This window comes from Homo sapiens, chromosome 7 (assembly GCF_000001405.40).
Source record: "Homo sapiens chromosome 7, GRCh38.p14 Primary Assembly".
Lineage (NCBI taxonomy): Eukaryota > Metazoa > Chordata > Mammalia > Primates > Hominidae > Homo > Homo sapiens.
Genome location: NC_000007.14, coordinates 86,944,400 through 86,963,050, shown reverse-complemented (window position 1 = coordinate 86,963,050; position 18,651 = coordinate 86,944,400). Strand labels below are relative to the sequence as shown.

The 18,651-nt window shown below is 37.6% G+C and overlaps 1 protein-coding gene across 10 annotated transcripts in view, besides 5 other annotated features; it reads left to right on the top strand.

Moving 5' to 3' along the window:
- The window catches only part of ELAPOR2 (endosome-lysosome associated apoptosis and autophagy regulator family member 2), a 182,749-nt gene that overhangs the window by 96,604 nt on the left and 67,494 nt on the right, over positions 1-18,651 (top strand). For 8 of the 10 annotated variants that reach the window (XM_011515918.3, XM_011515921.2, XM_017011843.2 and 5 more), the window contains 2 exons: positions 15,129-15,324; positions 18,005-18,152. In XM_011515918.3, the coding sequence (XP_011514220.1) occupies positions 15,129-15,324; positions 18,005-18,152 (344 nt within the window). The remainder of the gene's footprint in view (positions 1-15,128; positions 15,325-18,004; positions 18,153-18,651) is intronic. The other 2 variants (NM_001291991.2, NM_152748.4) reach the window with 1 other exon arrangement.
- Positions 12,577-12,646: an enhancer, noted in NCBI's record as "active region_26225". NCBI's record gives its function as "activates an Ori minimal core promoter by ATAC-STARR-seq in GM12878 lymphoblastoid cells {active_cell/tissue: GM12878}" and the evidence as "EXISTENCE:reporter gene assay evidence [ECO:0000049][PMID:35858748]".
- Positions 12,938-12,987: a silencer, noted in NCBI's record as "silent region_18339". NCBI's record gives its function as "represses an Ori minimal core promoter by ATAC-STARR-seq in GM12878 lymphoblastoid cells {active_cell/tissue: GM12878}" and the evidence as "EXISTENCE:reporter gene assay evidence [ECO:0000049][PMID:35858748]".
- Positions 12,995-13,531: an enhancer, noted in NCBI's record as "H3K27ac-H3K4me1 hESC enhancer chr7:86578836-86579372 (GRCh37/hg19 assembly coordinates)". NCBI's record gives its function as "activates a minimal SCP1, AML or CMV promoter by ChIP-STARR-seq in primed H9 embryonic stem cells {active_cell/tissue: H9 hESC(primed)}" and the evidence as "EXISTENCE:reporter gene assay evidence [ECO:0000049][PMID:30033119]".
- Positions 13,108-13,297: an enhancer, noted in NCBI's record as "active region_26224". NCBI's record gives its function as "activates an Ori minimal core promoter by ATAC-STARR-seq in GM12878 lymphoblastoid cells {active_cell/tissue: GM12878}" and the evidence as "EXISTENCE:reporter gene assay evidence [ECO:0000049][PMID:35858748]".
- Positions 13,532-14,069: an enhancer, noted in NCBI's record as "H3K27ac-H3K4me1 hESC enhancer chr7:86578298-86578835 (GRCh37/hg19 assembly coordinates)". NCBI's record gives its function as "activates a minimal SCP1, AML or CMV promoter by ChIP-STARR-seq in primed H9 embryonic stem cells {active_cell/tissue: H9 hESC(primed)}" and the evidence as "EXISTENCE:reporter gene assay evidence [ECO:0000049][PMID:30033119]".

Below are 18,651 nucleotides of genomic sequence, written 5' to 3'. Positions count from 1 at the left end.
TCCCTTATAGTATACTTACATTTGCTCTGGAATTTGTCGATCTGGCCTTAGATTTGTGAACATTTTCTTGTGTTAAAGACAAATTGTTTTAAAACTCACAAGTAAGTTAATAGGCTTAAGCAACTTAGAAGCACAGTTCATAACTTTAACTGTGTCACTTAAACTACTCATTAGTGTTTGGCTGCTGAAGGCAGTGTCATAGTAACTGGATATTCCTTCAGGAGCTTAGATTTTCTATTGCTAATAATAACTACCATTTCTCAAGTACTGATTATGTGCCAAACATTGTGCTTAGAGCTTTATGTCGTTATCCCATTGTATCCTCACAACAGCCATCTCAGATAACTAGGATCAGTGTTTCCATTTTATTAAAAAAGAAACTCACACTTAAAGTGGTGAAGTAATTTACCTTATGTCATATAGCCCGGATGCGGCAGGTCTAGGATTCAAAGACAGACATGTCTGATTCTAGAGCCTGTGTCTTACCCACTGAGTTAACCTGCCACTCGAAGATAGCAGCCTGGAGAAGCTTCCAGGTCTCCATAAGGGGGACATAAAACTCAGTGGTGGACCCACCAATTGACTCATACAGAAAAAGAAAATTAAGTAGTAGAACATGGCAACTTCAAGTAAGTGACGAATATTTAGGAGAGTGATTGTGTGGAACATGATTTCACAGATCTTAAATGTCTCAAAATAAAATGAAACCCAGAATTTGGCCTTTGTGGGAACTGCTAAAAATTCTTTAAAATGTAATTGGGTATCTCTTTTCTTCTTTCTCAGAAAGAAGCAGTGGGGGAGGCCTTTCCTGAGGAAAAGGATTATAGGAATGTTTATGAAGCAGTTGGAAATTTTTTCAGATAATTGATTGGCAAGCTATATTATATATTTGTTTTTTAAAGATTACATAAGATCTGGCTGCAAGGCTCCTCTGAGTGAAGTTAATGAGAAGTCAGGTATCAGTTTTTGTTGTTCTAGAACCCTGGGGTATATGTGACTCTGAAGCTTACAGGGCTCAGGAAATAGCATGAAGAGGCTTCTGGTTGTTAATTGACACTGATCCCCATTGTCTTTTTGTCCTCTCTGCTGTGGAGAACTCATCAGTTGCTTAGTGCTTCTCTGGGCAGGCCACTGAGATGATCTCATCTCTCTCCTCCTCTCCGCTAGCTCCAGGCTCAGCCACAGGGAACATTGGCACTTCTCTTAAGGCCCTGGTGCCAAGAGTTTAGCATCTGTGGGCATCATCCATCATTCAAGGTCTTGCAAGTAGCATGCCATTCCTGAACCACAACACTCTTTGTTTTAATCTCAGACCAAAGGGATGTAACCCCTGTTCCAATCCATATCTTCTTCACTGTTGGGTCATTCTCCTCATTTATTCTTGAAGAACAATGGCTTCTAAAATCTTTCCTTGAACCTCTCAGTTTCACTGGATGTTCTTAGATCATCAGAGAGGATAGAGCAGTTTCCTGGGCTATGTTCTCTCTTTCTTTCTCATTTGGGACAAAGCCCTTTTGCTTCAAACCAAACCTTAGAAATAAAGGTCTGATCTGGGGTATAAGTAGGGAGAGAGTTCCTTTACATATTTTTCAGACAATCTGGAACTCTGAAGGGGAAATAAACATAATGTATTTCTCCCTTTTATATTCTCTTATTTGGGGAGTATAGCTCTTCAATTGCTTATTCTTTAAAATATATCTGAGTCCATAACTTCAGGTACAACCTTAATATACCATGTTGTTTTCCTATTTTTTCCATTAATTTGTTCTTCAGCTATACAACACACCACTTTCTAAATGAAGATGATTAAGATATCTTTAATTTAGGAAAGGATCAAATCAGTCATAGTCTTAGGGACTTTGTTTAATCTTGTGCTTTAGTATTTAGAATATGTGAATCAATAATTCATATGAAGTAATACATATAGATGTATATAGAAGTGTATATATGTATGTATAATGTCTGTTGTATATATGTGTGTATAGTTTTTGTATTTCTCATACAGAGTATAGCGAATTAATGTGGCTTCAAACATGACTTTTATATATTTATGCATATAAGTATTTATAGTCTAGAATTTGAATAATTGGTTATAAACTTCTAATATTTAGTTGTTTTAGATAAAGTGCTATATGCAGACAAGTAAAAAAAATCAAATACAGACTTTTTTTTTCTCAAATCTATTGGTATAACCCATATTTAATGGACGTTAAGAAATAAGCAGACTTACACTATCTGCACAAAATAGACTTTAAGTCAAAAACTGTCACAAGGGACAAGGAAGTTAATTACATAATGATAAAAGGGTCAACTCAACATGAAGAGAGAATAATTATTAATATATATGCACTCAAAATCAGGATATCTAAATATATAAAGCAGACATTGACAGTTCTAAAGGGAAAAATAGACAGTAATACAATAATAGTAGGAGAATTAAATATCCTACTTACAATAATGGACAGATCACGTGGACAGAAAAATCAGTAAAGAAACAGCAGGCTGGGTGTGGTGGCTCACACCTGTAATCCCAGCACTTTGGGAGGCCGAGGTTGGTGGATCATGAGGTCAGGAGTTCGAGACCAGCCTGGCCAACATAGTGAAACCCCGTCTCTACTAAAAATACAAAAAAATCAGCCAGGTGTGGTGGCGTGCACCTGTAGTCCCAGCTACTTGGGAGGCTGAGGCAGGAGAATCGCTTGAACCTGGGAGGCAGAGGTTGCAGTGAGCTGAGACTGTGCCATTGTACTCCAGCCTGGGCGACAGAGTGAGACTCCGTCTCAAAAACAAACAAAAACAAAACCAGCAGACTTAAACAGCTTTATAGACCAAATGGACCTAACAGGTAGGCACAGAACATTTCACCCAAAACTAGCAGAATGCATGTTCTTTTCAAACACATGAAACATTCTCCAGGATAAATCATATACTAGGTTACAAAATGATTCTTAACAAATTTAAGAAGATTAAAATCATTCCAAGTATTTTTTCTGACTACAATGGAGTGAAACCAGAAATCAACAACAAAAGGAAAATGGGAAAGTTGATAAATACATGGAAATTAAACCACACTCTTAAACAACCATTGGGTCAAAGAAGAAATCATAGGGAAATTAGAAAATATTTTGAGACAAATGAAAATGGAAACAAAAAATACTAAAACTTATTTGATGCAGCAAAAGCAGTTTATAGCAATAAGTACCTACATTAAGAAAAGACATATTTCAAGCAGCCTAACATTACAAGTCAAGGAACTAGCAAAATAATAAACTGCTAAGCTAAAAACTGGCCTAAGGAAGGAAATAATGAAGATTAGAGCAAAATACAGCAAACTGAATTTAATAGCACATTAAAAGAAGAATATGTCATGACCAAGTGGGATTTATCACTGGGATTCAAGAATGAGTTAACATATGCAGCTCAATCAATGTGATATACCACATAATTAGGATGAAAGACAAAAGCCACATGATCATCTCAATAGATGCAGAAAGAACATTTGACAAAATTCAATACTCTTTTATGATACAAACTCTTAACTTAGGCATAGAAGGAAATTACCTCAACACAGTAAAGGCCATATAGGACAAGCACATAGCTAATATTATACTCAGTTGTGAAAAACTGAAAGCTTTTTTTTCTAAGATCTGGCATAAGGCAAGGATCCCGTTCACCTTCACCACTTCTATTCAACATAATACTGAAGGTCCTAGACAAAGCAATTAGGCAAGAAAAAGAAATAAAAGGCATACGAATCAGAAAAGGAGGAGCAAAATTATTTCCGTTTGCAGATGACATGATCTGATGTCTAGAAAACCCTAGAGACTCCACACACATACACAAAAACCCGTTAGAACTAGTAAAGTCAGCAAAGCTGTAAGATACAAAATAAACTTTAAACAGTTGCATTTCTATACACTAATAATTAACTATCCAAAGAGAAATCAAGAAAACAATCCTATGTATAATAGCATCAAAAATAATGAAATACTTAAGAATAAACTTAAACAAGGTGACAGACTTGTACACTGAAAATGATAAACGCTGATTAAAGAAAGCAGACACAAATAAATGGAAAGTTATCCCATGCTCGTAGATTGGAATACTTAGTATTATTAAAATATTCTTACTACTCAAAGTCATCTACAGATTTAATGCAATCTCTATTAAAACCTCAAGAATCTCTAGAAATGGAAAAAAAATCCTAAACTCATATGGAACCACAAAAGATTCTGAATAGCCAAAGCGATTTTGAGCAAAAAGAACAAAGCTGGAAGCATCACACTTTCTGAGCCATGTATGTTAATTCTCTGAGGCTCTCTGAGGTGAATTCTGAAGGAAGAAGTTCTTTAACCTGATGCAAGTGACATTCCAGGTATAGGAAACAGGATGAAGGTGCCAAGTGGAGCAGCATCTGGTTTTCCTGGGTGCTCTGTGAGATCTGAATGGCTGGCACTCAGGGAGGATGTGGGAAGGGCCAGAGATTCTGGCAACTCAATCGGCCGGCTGCTCTCTGTCCTACCAAGGACTCTGGACTTTGACCTGGAGACAGCCATTCACAGGTGGTTAAGGGGGTTAAATAAGGTGATAAATGTGATCTGCAGTCCTGGAATAATAATTATACAATAATATAGCAACAGTAATAATGACTAAAATAATAATAAAAAATAATAGCCAATCTTTACTTGCTATATGCCAGGTATAATTGTAAATGCTTTACCTGCATTCATTCCAATTCATTTAGTCATTACAACAACCTTGTAAAGTAGAAATTTTTATTAATTTGCCTTTCCCCCTCCCTTTATAAAAAGCAGATTAGGAAACTAAAACAATAGCTCAGAGTCACAAATTCAGGTCAAAGGGGGAACTGAGATTTGAAACCAGGAAGCCTAGAATTTGGGTCTATGTTCTTAATGTCTATGGGACTGTCTCTTTGGAATACACTGCTAGTATATATTGAACAAGTGCTTATCCCCATCCTGAGGCATCTGCACACCCCTAACATTTACCTCTTGATAGAAATGTGATGCAAATTAATATCCTGGAGAGATAAATGGACTTTTTAAAAGATGGCATCTAAAGGCTCAGATATGTTGTTTTGTGGGTCATTTTTAATTGATTAATGTTCTCTTTATAGATTGTATTCTCATTTTTTAAGGATTTATAAAAATAAAATAAATTTTTTAGAGATGAGTCTTGCCATGCTGCCCAGGCTGGAGTGCAGTGGCTATTCACAGGCACAATCAGTTTACTATAGTCTCAAAACCTTGGGCTCAAGTGATCCTCCTGCCTCCACTTCCTGAGTAGCTTCGTACCTAACATCATACCTGGTAGTAGATTTTATTCTTAATTGTCTATATTTTTCAAAAAGATGAGAGAGTAACATTTAGAATTTAGGAGATGTTTGTTGCTATATCCTCATATGCAATGATAAGTTGATTAGCCAGTTGTTTTTTTTCCCCATACTTAACATATTGTTTGGTACTTGATATATAGAATATGTTTTCATTGTTTAATTGGTATTAGGAAAAAAATGACACTTTTTTCAACTATAGAATTTCTTCCTAGAGGAGAGTAAACTCTCATGGACAGAATATATAATCCTTTCATGGCTCCTAAGAAAGCTGCAGAACACTGGAATGTTTGTAGATTGAGTAACTTTTGTGCCACCAAATTAGAGATTGACTTTAGTGTTTTATTTTTGTAGGTGAAACACAAAGGTCTAATCAGATTTGTAAAAATTTGTTCTATACATAAAGGGACAAATTGACATACAAAATGCTGTCAAATATTTTGTCCTCAGAAGGCTTAGTTTGGAATGTTGCTACATTGAGTTCCAGGTGTGCGAAGACAAAGTTAAACCTCCTCTGTAACACACAAGTGATAGCTGAAAGGTTAGAATGAATCAGATTGGGAGATGAGATGAAAACAGTTGAGAAAAGCTGAAAATCAGACTTTAGGTCAATCGTATTGTTTGATGGGAGCTATGGTTGGGGGAACTTCTCTGAAAAAAGTGTTTTATGAGGAGATGAGAAAACTCAGCCCTCAAAACTGCAGAATCAAGGTCAGAGACTATCAAGAAGTAGAAGGTGACTGACACTTTCTAAGGAAGAGGAAAAGTTTAGGATGATAAGAATCGAAGTGGTAGGGCATAATTGAAAGTTGAGAAAACTGATTTCACGGATGTATTGTTCTGCCCCCTTGGGTGACCTCATCACATACTCTGAACATTTTTCTTCCCTTGACCTTCACTATTGTCTTTTTTCTGTAAGCCTTGTGTCATCCTGTGCCCAATGAACTGAGATTTCTCCCCTCCCCCATCAAACATTGAAGTCAAGAAGCTGCAATAAAATACATTTCTGTTTTGTTCTTTCAGAGATTAAACATTCCTTAGTTAGCTTTTCTTATAAAAAGATATGAACTTTAAATCTAGCCTCTGCTGATTTAACGGGGATTACTATCTGTGGTGTCACACGTATCAGTTTTCTTGCCAGGAGGTGACTTCTACTTTTAAATTATCAAGCTTCTGGCTGATAAGTCCTAAGAAATGCAGTGATAGTCATACAGTTCCACTTGATAGGGCTATGTGAAGACCCACTGGAAAGGATGTTGGATGTGAAATTAGTTTTCAGAAATATAAAGGCAGTACTTTTCACTAAATAATCTTTTCAGGGAACAGTGAGTTAGGAAATGCTAGCTAGAATGGGTTCATATTACTGTACTCTTTTGTGTGTCTCCATCTCACTTTTGTTTTGTAAAATGAAAGATGAAAACAGGTTTCTCTTTCTTCTCTGAGAATTTCACAAGTAACTTACAAAGTATATCCATGTGTCCTACAACTTCACCGCCAACTCTTAGTGAAAAATTAAAAATTGTTATTGGTGGGATTGGGCTTCAAGATTTCAGTTCTGATAATTTTATCATGCCACTTCAGAGCTGACATAGCAGCTTTGCATCTGTTACTTCAGATGGCTAAGTGACACTGCTGGAGCTAGAACTCACATCCTGTGACTTTTAAGGCAGAGTTCTTTTTTTTTCCCCTTTTATTTTTGTTTTCTTTTTTTCTTTTTCTTTTCTTTTCCTTTTTTTTTTGTTTTTTGCAGAGTTCTTTTCTAATGCTATTATTTTTCACTTGAAGACAGTGGATTTTTCTCAGTTTAGTTATACTAAAATCTTCTGGCTGCATGGTAACCGTGGGTTTATTGGGTAGAGAGTCATGGAGTCTGTTAGAAAGTCTGCCACTAGAAACAGTAGAAAAGTTGAACTTGGTTGCTTATGGTTACACAGAAGAAGAAACTTGGAATCTGAATTGGGATGGTTTGGATCAGATAATCTCAAAGGTCTCTTTTGGTGATTCTGATTATTTTAATTGTTATTATTACATATCACAGATTTATTCATTCTGTGATCAAATCATGCCTCAAATCACATTACCTGTGAATTATAGTGCAATACTAATATATCTTCTTAATGCTCATGAATATTCTCTTCTGATAGGAATATTGCAATGTCTGCCACTATTAGTATTTGGACAGTGTTACCTTCCTTTCTCCTCTTCCAGCCTTAAATTGAACATGACAGATAGTTGATGTACTCACAACCAGCTTTCATTGTTGCCTTGTATGTTTTGACATGAAAACTACCCTCAGGATAAAAAAAAAATTCCCAATTAGAGAGAACAAGAATTCCCTTCAGCCAGGGGAAAAAATCTGCTTTACTGTGATTAAGAGAATATCAGCAAGAAATGGCCTGTTTTAATGTACTGTTTGACTTTCCCTATCATACTTTTATTTTCATAAAATGAGAATTATAGATTACTTTTTCTTCTCTAAGAATTTCACAAATAACAGCTTAAAAGGATGGTGTTCAAGTGCTGTCCTTATCACTGGTACTGAAGGAGGAAGAAGATCTGAGATTTGCTGGATTCAATATGCTGTTCAGTCTCTCTTAGATGCCATTTTCTGCTTTTTTGGTGTGTGAAAAGAATGATAATAAATCTGGCAGGCACTTAAAGTTTTAATTATCTGATAATGATAATTAATTGGCTACATGAGAGATGGAAGTAGAACTTATTTGTGAGGTTCACACACTAAGCATTGTTCTCTTTCTTTGTATTATCCTTAATGGCAGTGAGTAATAGTAAGAACAGTTGCAAGAGCATCAGCGTGTCGTCGATATAAGAATGTCTATGGTTTGAACCTTATTCATCTTATTTAAATAAGACTAACCCATTGAAGAAAAATAGACATATGGGCTTGTCTTGATCCTGGAATTGATTTACTTTATATTTCCCCACAAATATATATAATTATACTTAGCTGATATTAACTGACAAGATGGATTACAATGAATTTATACTTAGTGAGATATAAATTTGATTTATTTTGAGGAAGATCAGTCTAGATTAGACTATCATGGAAGCTCTGAGAAAGCCACAATGTTGTTCCCAGATATTTATCTGTAATAAGTTTGCATAGGTTCACTATATCATTAACATCTCATTAAACAAGTAAATTGAAAATCCGTTTATTATTACTTACTATTGCTGTTCACTGTTTAGAAAACATATTTTAGTAATAAAAACTTTGATTAAAAAGAGCAAAAATGAGTAAATTATGAATAAATGTAATTGACAGCCATAGTCTTTCAAAACATGAGGTCTCTGGAGGAAGAAAAAGCAAAACTATGTGGCCTTGTGGTACAATGATTAAAAATAGATGTTCTTTATTGTTAGGCATAAATCATAGATGATAATCAGCATATAAATGATTCAATTCAGTAACAGTTATTTGGCATATTGTGCTGGGTAGTTGCATGATCATAGCAGTGCTTTGTATTTTCAACACTCTTTATTTTCAGAGTGGCTTCCAGAGTCTCACATTGGATTATTATAAGCAGTCCTAGGAGGGAGAAGGGGATGGTGGAGTGTGAATAAGCACAGAGGTTAAGTAAATTGCCTAAGATATTTGCTACTTGGGGACGGACTAATATAAATGCTTTTTCCGTATCTGATTATTCACACCTGCATATTTAAACCTTTACAGATTCACAGTAGCAGAAATAAATGTCAGAAAAGAAGAGGCATAAGGCTGATAAAAAGAACAGTGAGTGCAGCAAATGACCTCTTGGTTACAGTTTAGACTTCAAGATGTTGGGTTTTTAAATATCACTCTTTCACTGGGTGCTTAGGTAAACTATTGTGAAATACTTGAGGCCACTGTTAAGTAGTGCCTAAGACCTTAGGCAAATAAGGTCTTTCTGTTCTCATTAAAAACTTTGGAGTTTGCCTATCTTTAATTCAGTTTCTCTAAGATTTCAAGGTTGTTGAAGAAGAAAAATTAGAAATGACTAATTGATTCAAATTAAATACGGTAAATTCATGTTCAAAACAGCTAACAACAGTTAACAACAGCTATTAATAATAACTGTCTATCATACTGCTTGTTGAAGGGTTCCTATGTTGTATGCTAAAAAAACTGAATGAAAATAGTACAGTCTTTAAGATTATTAAAAAACCTGATGATCTAATTAAAGAACAAATGCCAAGGTAGCAGTGTTGACATAGAGAGTGGATGAGGCTAGGATGGAAGATAAAAGGAAAAGCAGGTAGTTTTGGTGGCCATCAAAGGAAGTCAGCAGTGCTAACTCTGTTGACATAGTCTTGTGGAGTAAACAGTGTTTACCAAGAAAGTGTGGCTCTTTTCTTCCTTTGACAGGTGTCTCTAAGCCTGACTTCCAGGATGAAAAAGATTGAGGAGTAGCAAATGATTAAACTATGAAAAGCTTTAGACTTACTAGCTCCTCTGTATTATTAAAGGCCCTATACTTATTCAACTAATTTGACTGCATAATTAATCTGAAGGATGTAATCCACTGGCAGAGTTCTTATAGAGATGTGTGTCCCATGTCCCTGAATTAAACTATCAATAATTGTGTGGGTTTTTTTTTTTTTTTTTTGACAGAGGCTTGCTCTGTTGCCCAGGCTGGGGTGCAGTGGCATGATCTAAGCTTACTGCAAACTCTGTCTTCCAGGCTCAAGCAATTCTCATGCCTCAGCCTCCCAAGTAGCTGAGATTACAGGTGTGCGCCACCTCGCCTGGCTAACTTTTTGTGTTTTTTGTAGAGATAGGGTTTCACCTTGTTGTCCAAGCTGGTCTCAAACTCCTGACCTCAAGCAGTCTGCCTGCCTCAGCCTCCCAAAGTGCTGGGATTACAGGTGTGAGCCACTGAGTCCAGCCTAAACTATTAATAATTGTATTTAATATTTATTGTGTGCTGCATGCCAGGTAATATGCTAAATGCTTTATATGATATATCTCCTTTATTCCCACAACTCATTGAGATAGCTATTGTTATTATTTTCCTTTTATAGGCAAAGTCATTAGACTTATGGAAGATAGAAACTTGCTAAAATATTTTTAATGCATGTTTTAGGAGTAGTACATTAAAAATCCACAAGAAATATGAGGTTATTGCTAAAATGGTTATTGCTGTATAATGCACATGAACATTAACAGTTCAGGATAGGAATGAAGAATGATGTGATGTATGATGATTAATTTGGTTGGAATTGTTTGCCCTTTTTGTATTGGTTGTAATAATTTTTTGAACTGAATTTTCTCTGAGGCCCCACCTTTGGAATCAGACAGACCAGAATTTGAGTTTCAGCTTTGCCATTGGTTAACTGTTAACTAGTTAACCTTTTTAATCAGGTTATTTAAATGCACTGTGGCTCAGTTTCCTCATCTGGTATATAGGCATAATCCCTTCCTCCCTCACCAGTCTACTATAAACACAGTTAATCCTCATTATTCATGGATTCAATATTTGCAAATTTGACTACTTGCTAAAATTTATTTGTAACCCCCAAATTAATACACTCAATGCTTTCATAGTTATTTGCAGACATATGCAGAGTGGTGAGATATCTGAGTCACCCAACTACATGAATGAACAAGGTGACACTTTGACTTCTTACTGCTTTTCTCATACTGTAAACAAGTGTCCTTTTGGTGGTTTATTTAGTACTATGTGTTTAGCATTTTAGTTATTTTTTTGGGTGATTTTGCTGCTTAAAATGGCCCTCCAAGTATAGTGCCAATGTGAAGGCTAGTGTTCCTAAGTACAAGAGGGCTGTGCTATGCCTTTCAGAGAAAAATACATGTGTTAGATAAGCTTTATTCAGGCATGAGTTATAGTTCTGTTGGCCATGAGTTCAACATTAACGAATTAACAACATATACTAAATCAGATGTTTTTAAAAAGAAATACACTTAAACAAGGTTAGGTATTGATTGGTTGACAAAGGTGATGTGACCAAAGGTTCCCAGGAACCTAACCCTGTATTTTCCATAAGAGTGATGGTCCAGTATTCATTAATTTAGTGTTTGGGGTAAATTCATATAACACAACTACTGCGAATAACAAGAATTTACTGTGTTTGTAAAGTATCAAGCATGGCACCTGGTATATACCAAATATCCATTATATTCACTTTCAACTTTATCTCTTAGTTTTCCTTCTGACTTCATGGAAACACTTGGGAAAGAAATGGGAATATTCTTTATGATTTTAATTAACAGGGCAGTGAACATTCCAAAATGGCATCATTGTATTTAGAAGACAAGATTCACAAACGCAATTCTTCTCTTTTTTATATTTTAGAGTTCTTTATAACAACATATCATAAAATATTACCTTTTATTAAGTTATAGATAATCAACTTAAAATACCATTTTGGACACTAAACTGTCTTCCAAGATAACTTTATTAGGAAGTCAATATTTTTGTCTTTGTGGGCAATGCAGTTTCTGTTGCAGCTATTCAACTCTGCCATTGTGGTGTGAAAGCAGCCATAGACAGTAGGTAAATGAATGATCGGGATTGGGTTTCAATAAAACTTTATTTACAAAAGCAGGTAGTGAGCTGGATTTCCCCTGCAGGTTGTAGTTTGCTCACCTCTGATTTAATGTACTGTAGGGTCTTGGTTTATGATATTATTATTTATCATATTAGGCAAATGTCTGATTCTGAGTTTGCTAGAAGATCCATAGACCATTGAAAATAAGCAGTTTTCCATAACTGTGTTTTTCTGTTAGTTGTGCTGGTAGTGATAATAGCTTTAATGAGCATTTGTTATATGCCAGGCACTAACCACCTTATACTATATTTTATTTTCTCAGTATGGTCACAGGATTCTTGGGGTGTCACTTCACCAGCTGGAAACCCCTGTGGCCAGTGGCACCTTTGCCTGAGTTTTGCTCAGGCCCACCAGGCTTGTTCTGCCTCCTTGGCCTGCCAGGCTGCATTTGGCTCACTCTACTGGCCTGGGTCCCACGCTGGCCAAGGGCTAGCCAGGTGCAGAGTGGCAAGGGGTGTGTGAGTGAGCATGGGGTTCAGGCTACCATGCACAGCCAGGCATGACAGCTGCGGTGGGGGGAGCAACTCCAGGTGACAGCATGGGCACTGGTTCCCTGTGAGGCTGCAGCTGAACCAAGCATGCCACAAGCAGCTTCTGTGCTGGCACCGGGGAATATGGTGGCACCCAGAAGCTTGGAGACAGAGCCCCAAAGAGGCTGTTACAGGAACTACAGAGCCCCAAAGAGGCTGTTACAGCCTTGACTTGGGGAGCTTCCAGGTCTGGTATCCCCAAAGGGCCACAGCTCTTCTCTCCTTCTTGTCACCTGCAACGTGGCAAGCAAGGAGCATGTTTCAGCCCTATTTGTTAAAACTCTTTTAGCTCCACCATTTGGTGGTTCCTGAGTTCTTGTCCTATATCCAGGAAGAATGAGGTATGTGGACAAGTGGAGGGTGAGCAAGGTGAAGAGGAGCTTTATTGAGCTACAGAATAGCTTAGAGGAGACCCACAGTGACTAGCTCCTCTTCATAAGCAGGGTGTCTCAGCTACTGTTCAGCTCTCAGCAGAGAGGGGACCCTGGAGTGGGTAACCGAGTCCAGGGCTTTTATGGGCCTGGGCCTCAGCCAGCCAGAGGGAGGAAGTGTGTGCTGATTGGTCAATGGGCGGCCATGGGCAGTCTGGGGGGAAAAAGCACCACAAGTTCCCATTCTGGCCCACTGACTGGCAACCCAGCCCCCAGGCTTCAGAGCCTCCCTGGCTTGAAGGTGGGGCTTTGTGGGACCCATCCCCTTCCATCCAGGAGACTCTATGCCTCCTGCCACTGTTCTGGGCACCCAGGCTGTTCGGTCAAGGAGTGCCTGCAGGCCAGTGCCAAGCTGCCTTCAGCCCCTGCTTCAGTCTCTCTCCTGTGCTTGTTGGTGGCCAAAGTCTGGAGGAGGCTGAGGTGGCAGGAAGCTGGTATGTTAGCAGAGTGCCCAGGCTCAGCCCCAACCTTGCTCTGAGATTGGAAGGGGTGCCAGGAGTGGGGAGAGGCCAGGCAGGGGGAGCAGACGTCTCCAAGCCTGTGGGGGAAGGGGTTCTTCCTGGGCCCCTGAGAGTGCCAAGATGCCCTGGTCCACAGCCATGGCTTGGGTAGCTGCAGCTGTGCTCAGGATGGTGGAGCTCCTGCCTGCTCCTGGCCCCCAAGAGCACAGGGAAGCTTGAGTCTGCCTGGGAGGACGGGGCTCTGCCTCCTCCCGCCCCAATGGCTCCATGGAACGTGCTGCCTGGTCCGCACTTCCCCCACAGTAGCCGGCTTCATGGCAGTGGTCACTCCAGGCTGGCTGCTGCTGCCATCAGTATAGCCCTTAAAGGTACCTATTGTGATTGTTATCTCATTTTTTAGAGACAGAAACTAAGGCCTAGAGAGGTGAAATAACTCACTCAGTGTCATAGAATTAGGAAGTGGTACAGCCTTGTCCTAGGACAGTTTTGACTATGTAGCCAGCATGCCACATTCTTTGCATAATCTTTTTTTATTTTCTCATGTTTTACTGATTTGGGGATGTTGATTTGAATGTAGAAGTTCATTGTACAGCATCTTTAAGGTTTTCTCAAGGAAAGCATTATATTAATTCAGCGAATAAGTAGATGTGTGTGGATTTTAGCTCTAATTCTTTAATTAGTTTTTAAAAATCAGCTGATTTTTATTTCTGGCTAAGTTTTCTAATGTATTCTAAAAGAGAAGAATCTACCTAAATGTGAGACTTTGCTGCTTTACACTCTGCTGGGAGATTTGTTTTTCTTCACTGGGTAATTTGGAGGTCTCATTTTGTTCTTGTTTCTTTAATATCCTGATTAAAGGATTAGAAAGCCCTTTTCCAAGGTTGGAGTCACTAATACCATCGTGCACATAGCCATGTACTTGGAGGATGTTGATTTGCATTTGTTGAAGGAATAATAACTTAGCTTTCTTTTTTTGTAGTGTGTCAACTATTCTTCACATTGTCGTATCTAGTATCTCTGGGTACAGTTCTCAGAGTCTGCAGAAAGCTTGACATCAGAAATAAGATATAGGTGGTAGAGATGACTAGGTTGGTGTGAATATTGAAAAAGTGGGCTCATGGTTTCAGAGTGGAGATAACCTGTTCAACTATTGCACTGCTTTCCTGTTTCCCTTTTTATATTTAGTTGTCACTCATTGGATCAGCATTTTATCTGGACTTAGTATGTGCCTGATACAGCTAGGAATCCAAAAATAATGATCCTTGTTTTCTTAAAGCTCAAAATCTCACATCAACTTATAAGTGGTCTTAATATGTGCTTATCCACTGATTAGCATAAATTAAGTGCTTTAATGGAGGTATTATAACAAGTGCACTGTAGGACCATAAAGGGAGGTACAACTGACTGCCCATTGGGCCAGGGGAAGGGATCTGTTATGAAGTGAGTGGTTTTTGAGTTGAGAACAGGAGTGTTCCATGTAGAGAAGGTAGGATTGGCCAACATCTATCTTGTAGGAAAGAAGACCACAACAGCAGGAGAGAGGATGAAATATTTTGGGAATGATAGGAATTCTGTTTTGGCTGGAAGAGGGTGGGGCAAAGGGTGAGCTTGGAAAAATAGGTTGGAACCAGATTGTGAAATGCATGTAGTGATAAGAGGAATTTGAAAGGCTTTCGTTTGAGTGTGGCACAATCAGAGTTTTATAAAAATAATTCTGGTGACAGCATGAAGGGGAGGAAATTGATGGGAGGGTAAGTAATGGGTTGTCCATTCTTCTGCCTTCCAGCTTTCTCCTGTGCTTCTGGAGAGTATCTAGAAATGAAGAACCAGGTATGCAGTAAGTGTGGTGAAGGCACCTATTCCTTGGGCAGTGGCATCAAATTTGATGAATGGGATGAATTGCCGGCAGGATTTTCTAACATCGCAACATTCATGGACACTGTGGTGGGCCCTTCTGACAGCAGGCCAGACGGCTGTAACAAGTAAGAATCCAAAGCAGCCTTTGGCTCTTAACTGAATATTTGAGAAGAAAGTAGTTGCTCTTTTCCAGAAAGAAGATGAGGATAATCTTGGTACTGTTTGTGGTGATAGATAAGCTAATTGCAAAGAATCATGTTTTTTGGACGGTCATTGCAATGAGTTTTCATGAGGTTAAAATCATTGCCCTCAGGATATAATAGACACTGTATGCAAAAATGCAATAAAGCTGTTAGAGAAGCAAATTAATTTTCTCATATTTATAACTACATTTAAGCCACTGGTGTTTCTACTAACCTTTTTCTGATTTTTAACAGATACTTTCAGGTTTTTTTATTTTCCTCTGACAGGAAGAATTCATAACCTTCATTTAGACACTTGATTATCTCCTATAAAAGAGAGTGGGTTAAGTACCTAAGGTGGAAAGCGCCTTTGCTTAATTCCTACCTCTTTTATAGGGGATTATTAGCTTTGCATATGACAAAGCTGGAGAAATGTTAAACTGTTTTGAAAAAAACAAAACAAAATGTTTGTCTTTGAGCTATATCCCTTCCTGTTCCCTTGTATTAATTATGTAACATTTCCTTTCATATGGATTTGCTTAGGAGAATTCAACTTTAGGGCTCTGGCTACCCCCTGACAAGAGTAGCCTCTCAGGAACCCCACATTTTTACCATAAGCTAAGGATGCTGGGGAATTATTTAGCTGTGTTGAAAGGCATATTCATTCCCTCCCTCCCTTCCTTTCTTCCTTCCTTTCACTCTAGCTGTCTTTTTGCCAAATGATGCCAATTTCTTTATTTTAATCTCTCGATAATAGGATTATTTCCTTGAGAGAGTGTGTGTTTTAAGTAAAAGAGTTCCTTAGAGGAAGGTACTAGTAGGATGTTGTGGGACCTCAGATCTTTGTTTTGGTGGGCAGGAGATACTGACAAGGCTTCTTTTTCTGCCTGGAATAGTTTATGCATAAAAGAAATCGAGTAAGCGGAAGTTTTTCAATGTAGTGTTTTCTAGTGTAATTTTCTCAGTGTAAATTTGAGTCTGGGCCAGTGCGGCGGTGGCTCATGCCTGTAATCCCAGCACTTTGGGAGGTCGAGGCAGGCGGATCACCTGAGGTTGGGAGTTCAAGACCAGCCTGACCAACATGGAGAAACCCCATCTCTACTAAAAATACAAAAATTAGCCTGGCGTGGTGGCAGGTGCCCGTAATCCCAGGTACTCTGGAGGCTGAGGCAGGAGGATCACTTGAACCCTGGAGGCAGAGGTTGCGGTGAGCTGAGATCGCACCATTGCACTCCAGTCTGGGCAACAAGAGCAAAACTCCGTCCACTTTTGCATACTTTTTATTTCTCTTTAATTAGTTGTGTCATATAGGAGATGTATGTTGAACTTTCTAAAAAGTCTGAGCTTTTCAAAATGGTTATATCATTGTAGACTCCCACCAGTAGTATATTTTAGTTCTAGTTATTCTACATGTTTACCAACATTTGTATTGTTAAGTCTTGTTTTGTTCTAGCCCTAGGCTTTCCAGTGTATGCACACGTGTGTGTGTGTGTGTGTGTGTGTGTGTGTGAGAAATGGTATCCCTTTGTTTTAATTTGCATTTCCCTGCTGGATAATAATGTCAAACATGTTTCATGTGTTTATTGTTCATGTGTTTATTAACTTTTGTGAAGTCAAATTGTTTTGCCCATTCTCTACTTTTTTTTGGTCATTTGATTATTAAGCTGAAGGAGTTCCTGTACATTCTGGGCATGGGTTCTTATGTGTATATATTTATATAATAAATATATAGTATGTGCACATACACATACACACGTCTCCATGTGTGTGTAACACTTCTTCCCAATTTGTGGTTTTTGCCTTTTTTGTTTTCTTAATAGTGTCCTTTGATAAGCAGAAGTTTAAAATTTGAAAGAATACAATTTATTATTTTTTTCTGCTGTGGTCATATGTTAGGATATCTTTGCTAACCCCAGGTTGCAAAGGCTAGAAATTACTGTATGCATCCTTATGGTAACATAGAGTTATTATTGTACCTTTATATAATGTTAAATTTTACAACAGCATAGTTACATCTATACCCTTATCTTCATACTATTGCCATATATTTAGAAACATGTTATAAACCCTACAATACAATGGTATTATGTTTTAAATAATTAGTTGCTTTTAAAATAACCTTACAAAGATTTAGGAACTCAAAGCCAAGTCCATCACTGACAAGTTCATTTCACATGACACACAGCTTCCTAAAAAATTAAGGTGAAAAAATATAGCTTTATATGTTAATCTACGTATTTATCATTAATGGTGCTCTTTCTCCCCTTCCATAGATTTGCCATGTGTATGGGTTTACAAATAAAACTGCAGATATCTGAAAGAATAATTCCATCTAAGGCTACTAAAATTAGTTATCATCTATTTGGTAATCAAATTTTGGGTGAAAAATAACAATTTCTTAGCAGATTAATCATATAACCTTAAAAAGATTTACGAAGTTATTTGCCATAAGAAATGGACCTCTTCTCAGTAATAAAGTTGGCCTTTGAGTCTGGAAAAGCTTCTGGTGTTTTCTGCTGTACTTTGCTGATGGAACTACTCGTGAATCTGAGTTACATAGTTTTGTGAATAGAAGAGGTTTCAGAACATTAATGTAAAGTGCTTCTTGGTTTTGTTTCCACAGCTCTTCTTGGATCCCTCGTGGAAACTACATAGAATCTAATCGTGATGACTGCACGGTGTCTTTGATCTATGCTGTGCACCTTAAGAAGTCAGGCTATGTCTTCTTTGAGTACCAGTATGTCGACAACAACATCTTCTTTGAGTTCTTTGTAAGACCTTTTGTATTCTGGAATTTACTTTTTAAGGGACATTCATGTAAATTTCCCTTAGTCAGTTGTTCCCATTCCACTTTATTCCTCCTCAGTTTTTTTTTTGTGTGTGTGTGTTAACTGAACCTTTTGATGTTAAAAGAAAACTTTAATCTCTTTTTATAATATTTTGTTTCCTGGTTAATATTGTTTCTTTACCTCCAAGATCTCACCTTGCAGCATAACATTGGGCTTGGTTAACTTTTAGTTATGCTCATTATATAACCATTTGGTTTAGACTTTTTGTGTGACAAATATTTCCTCCAAGATTCATGTTTACATTACTTTTAGTAGCTACAGATAGTATTCTGTCAAAACTGTGTTTTTTAAACCAATTTTAGTTTTCACTTAAAAGTTTTTTTTCTCTTTGCAATTTCAAGTATTTTTTTGCTAACAAAAATTATTTAAGTGTATTTATGAGCAATTTTTTTTCAGAAGTAGAAGTGGCTGCATGTTTCTG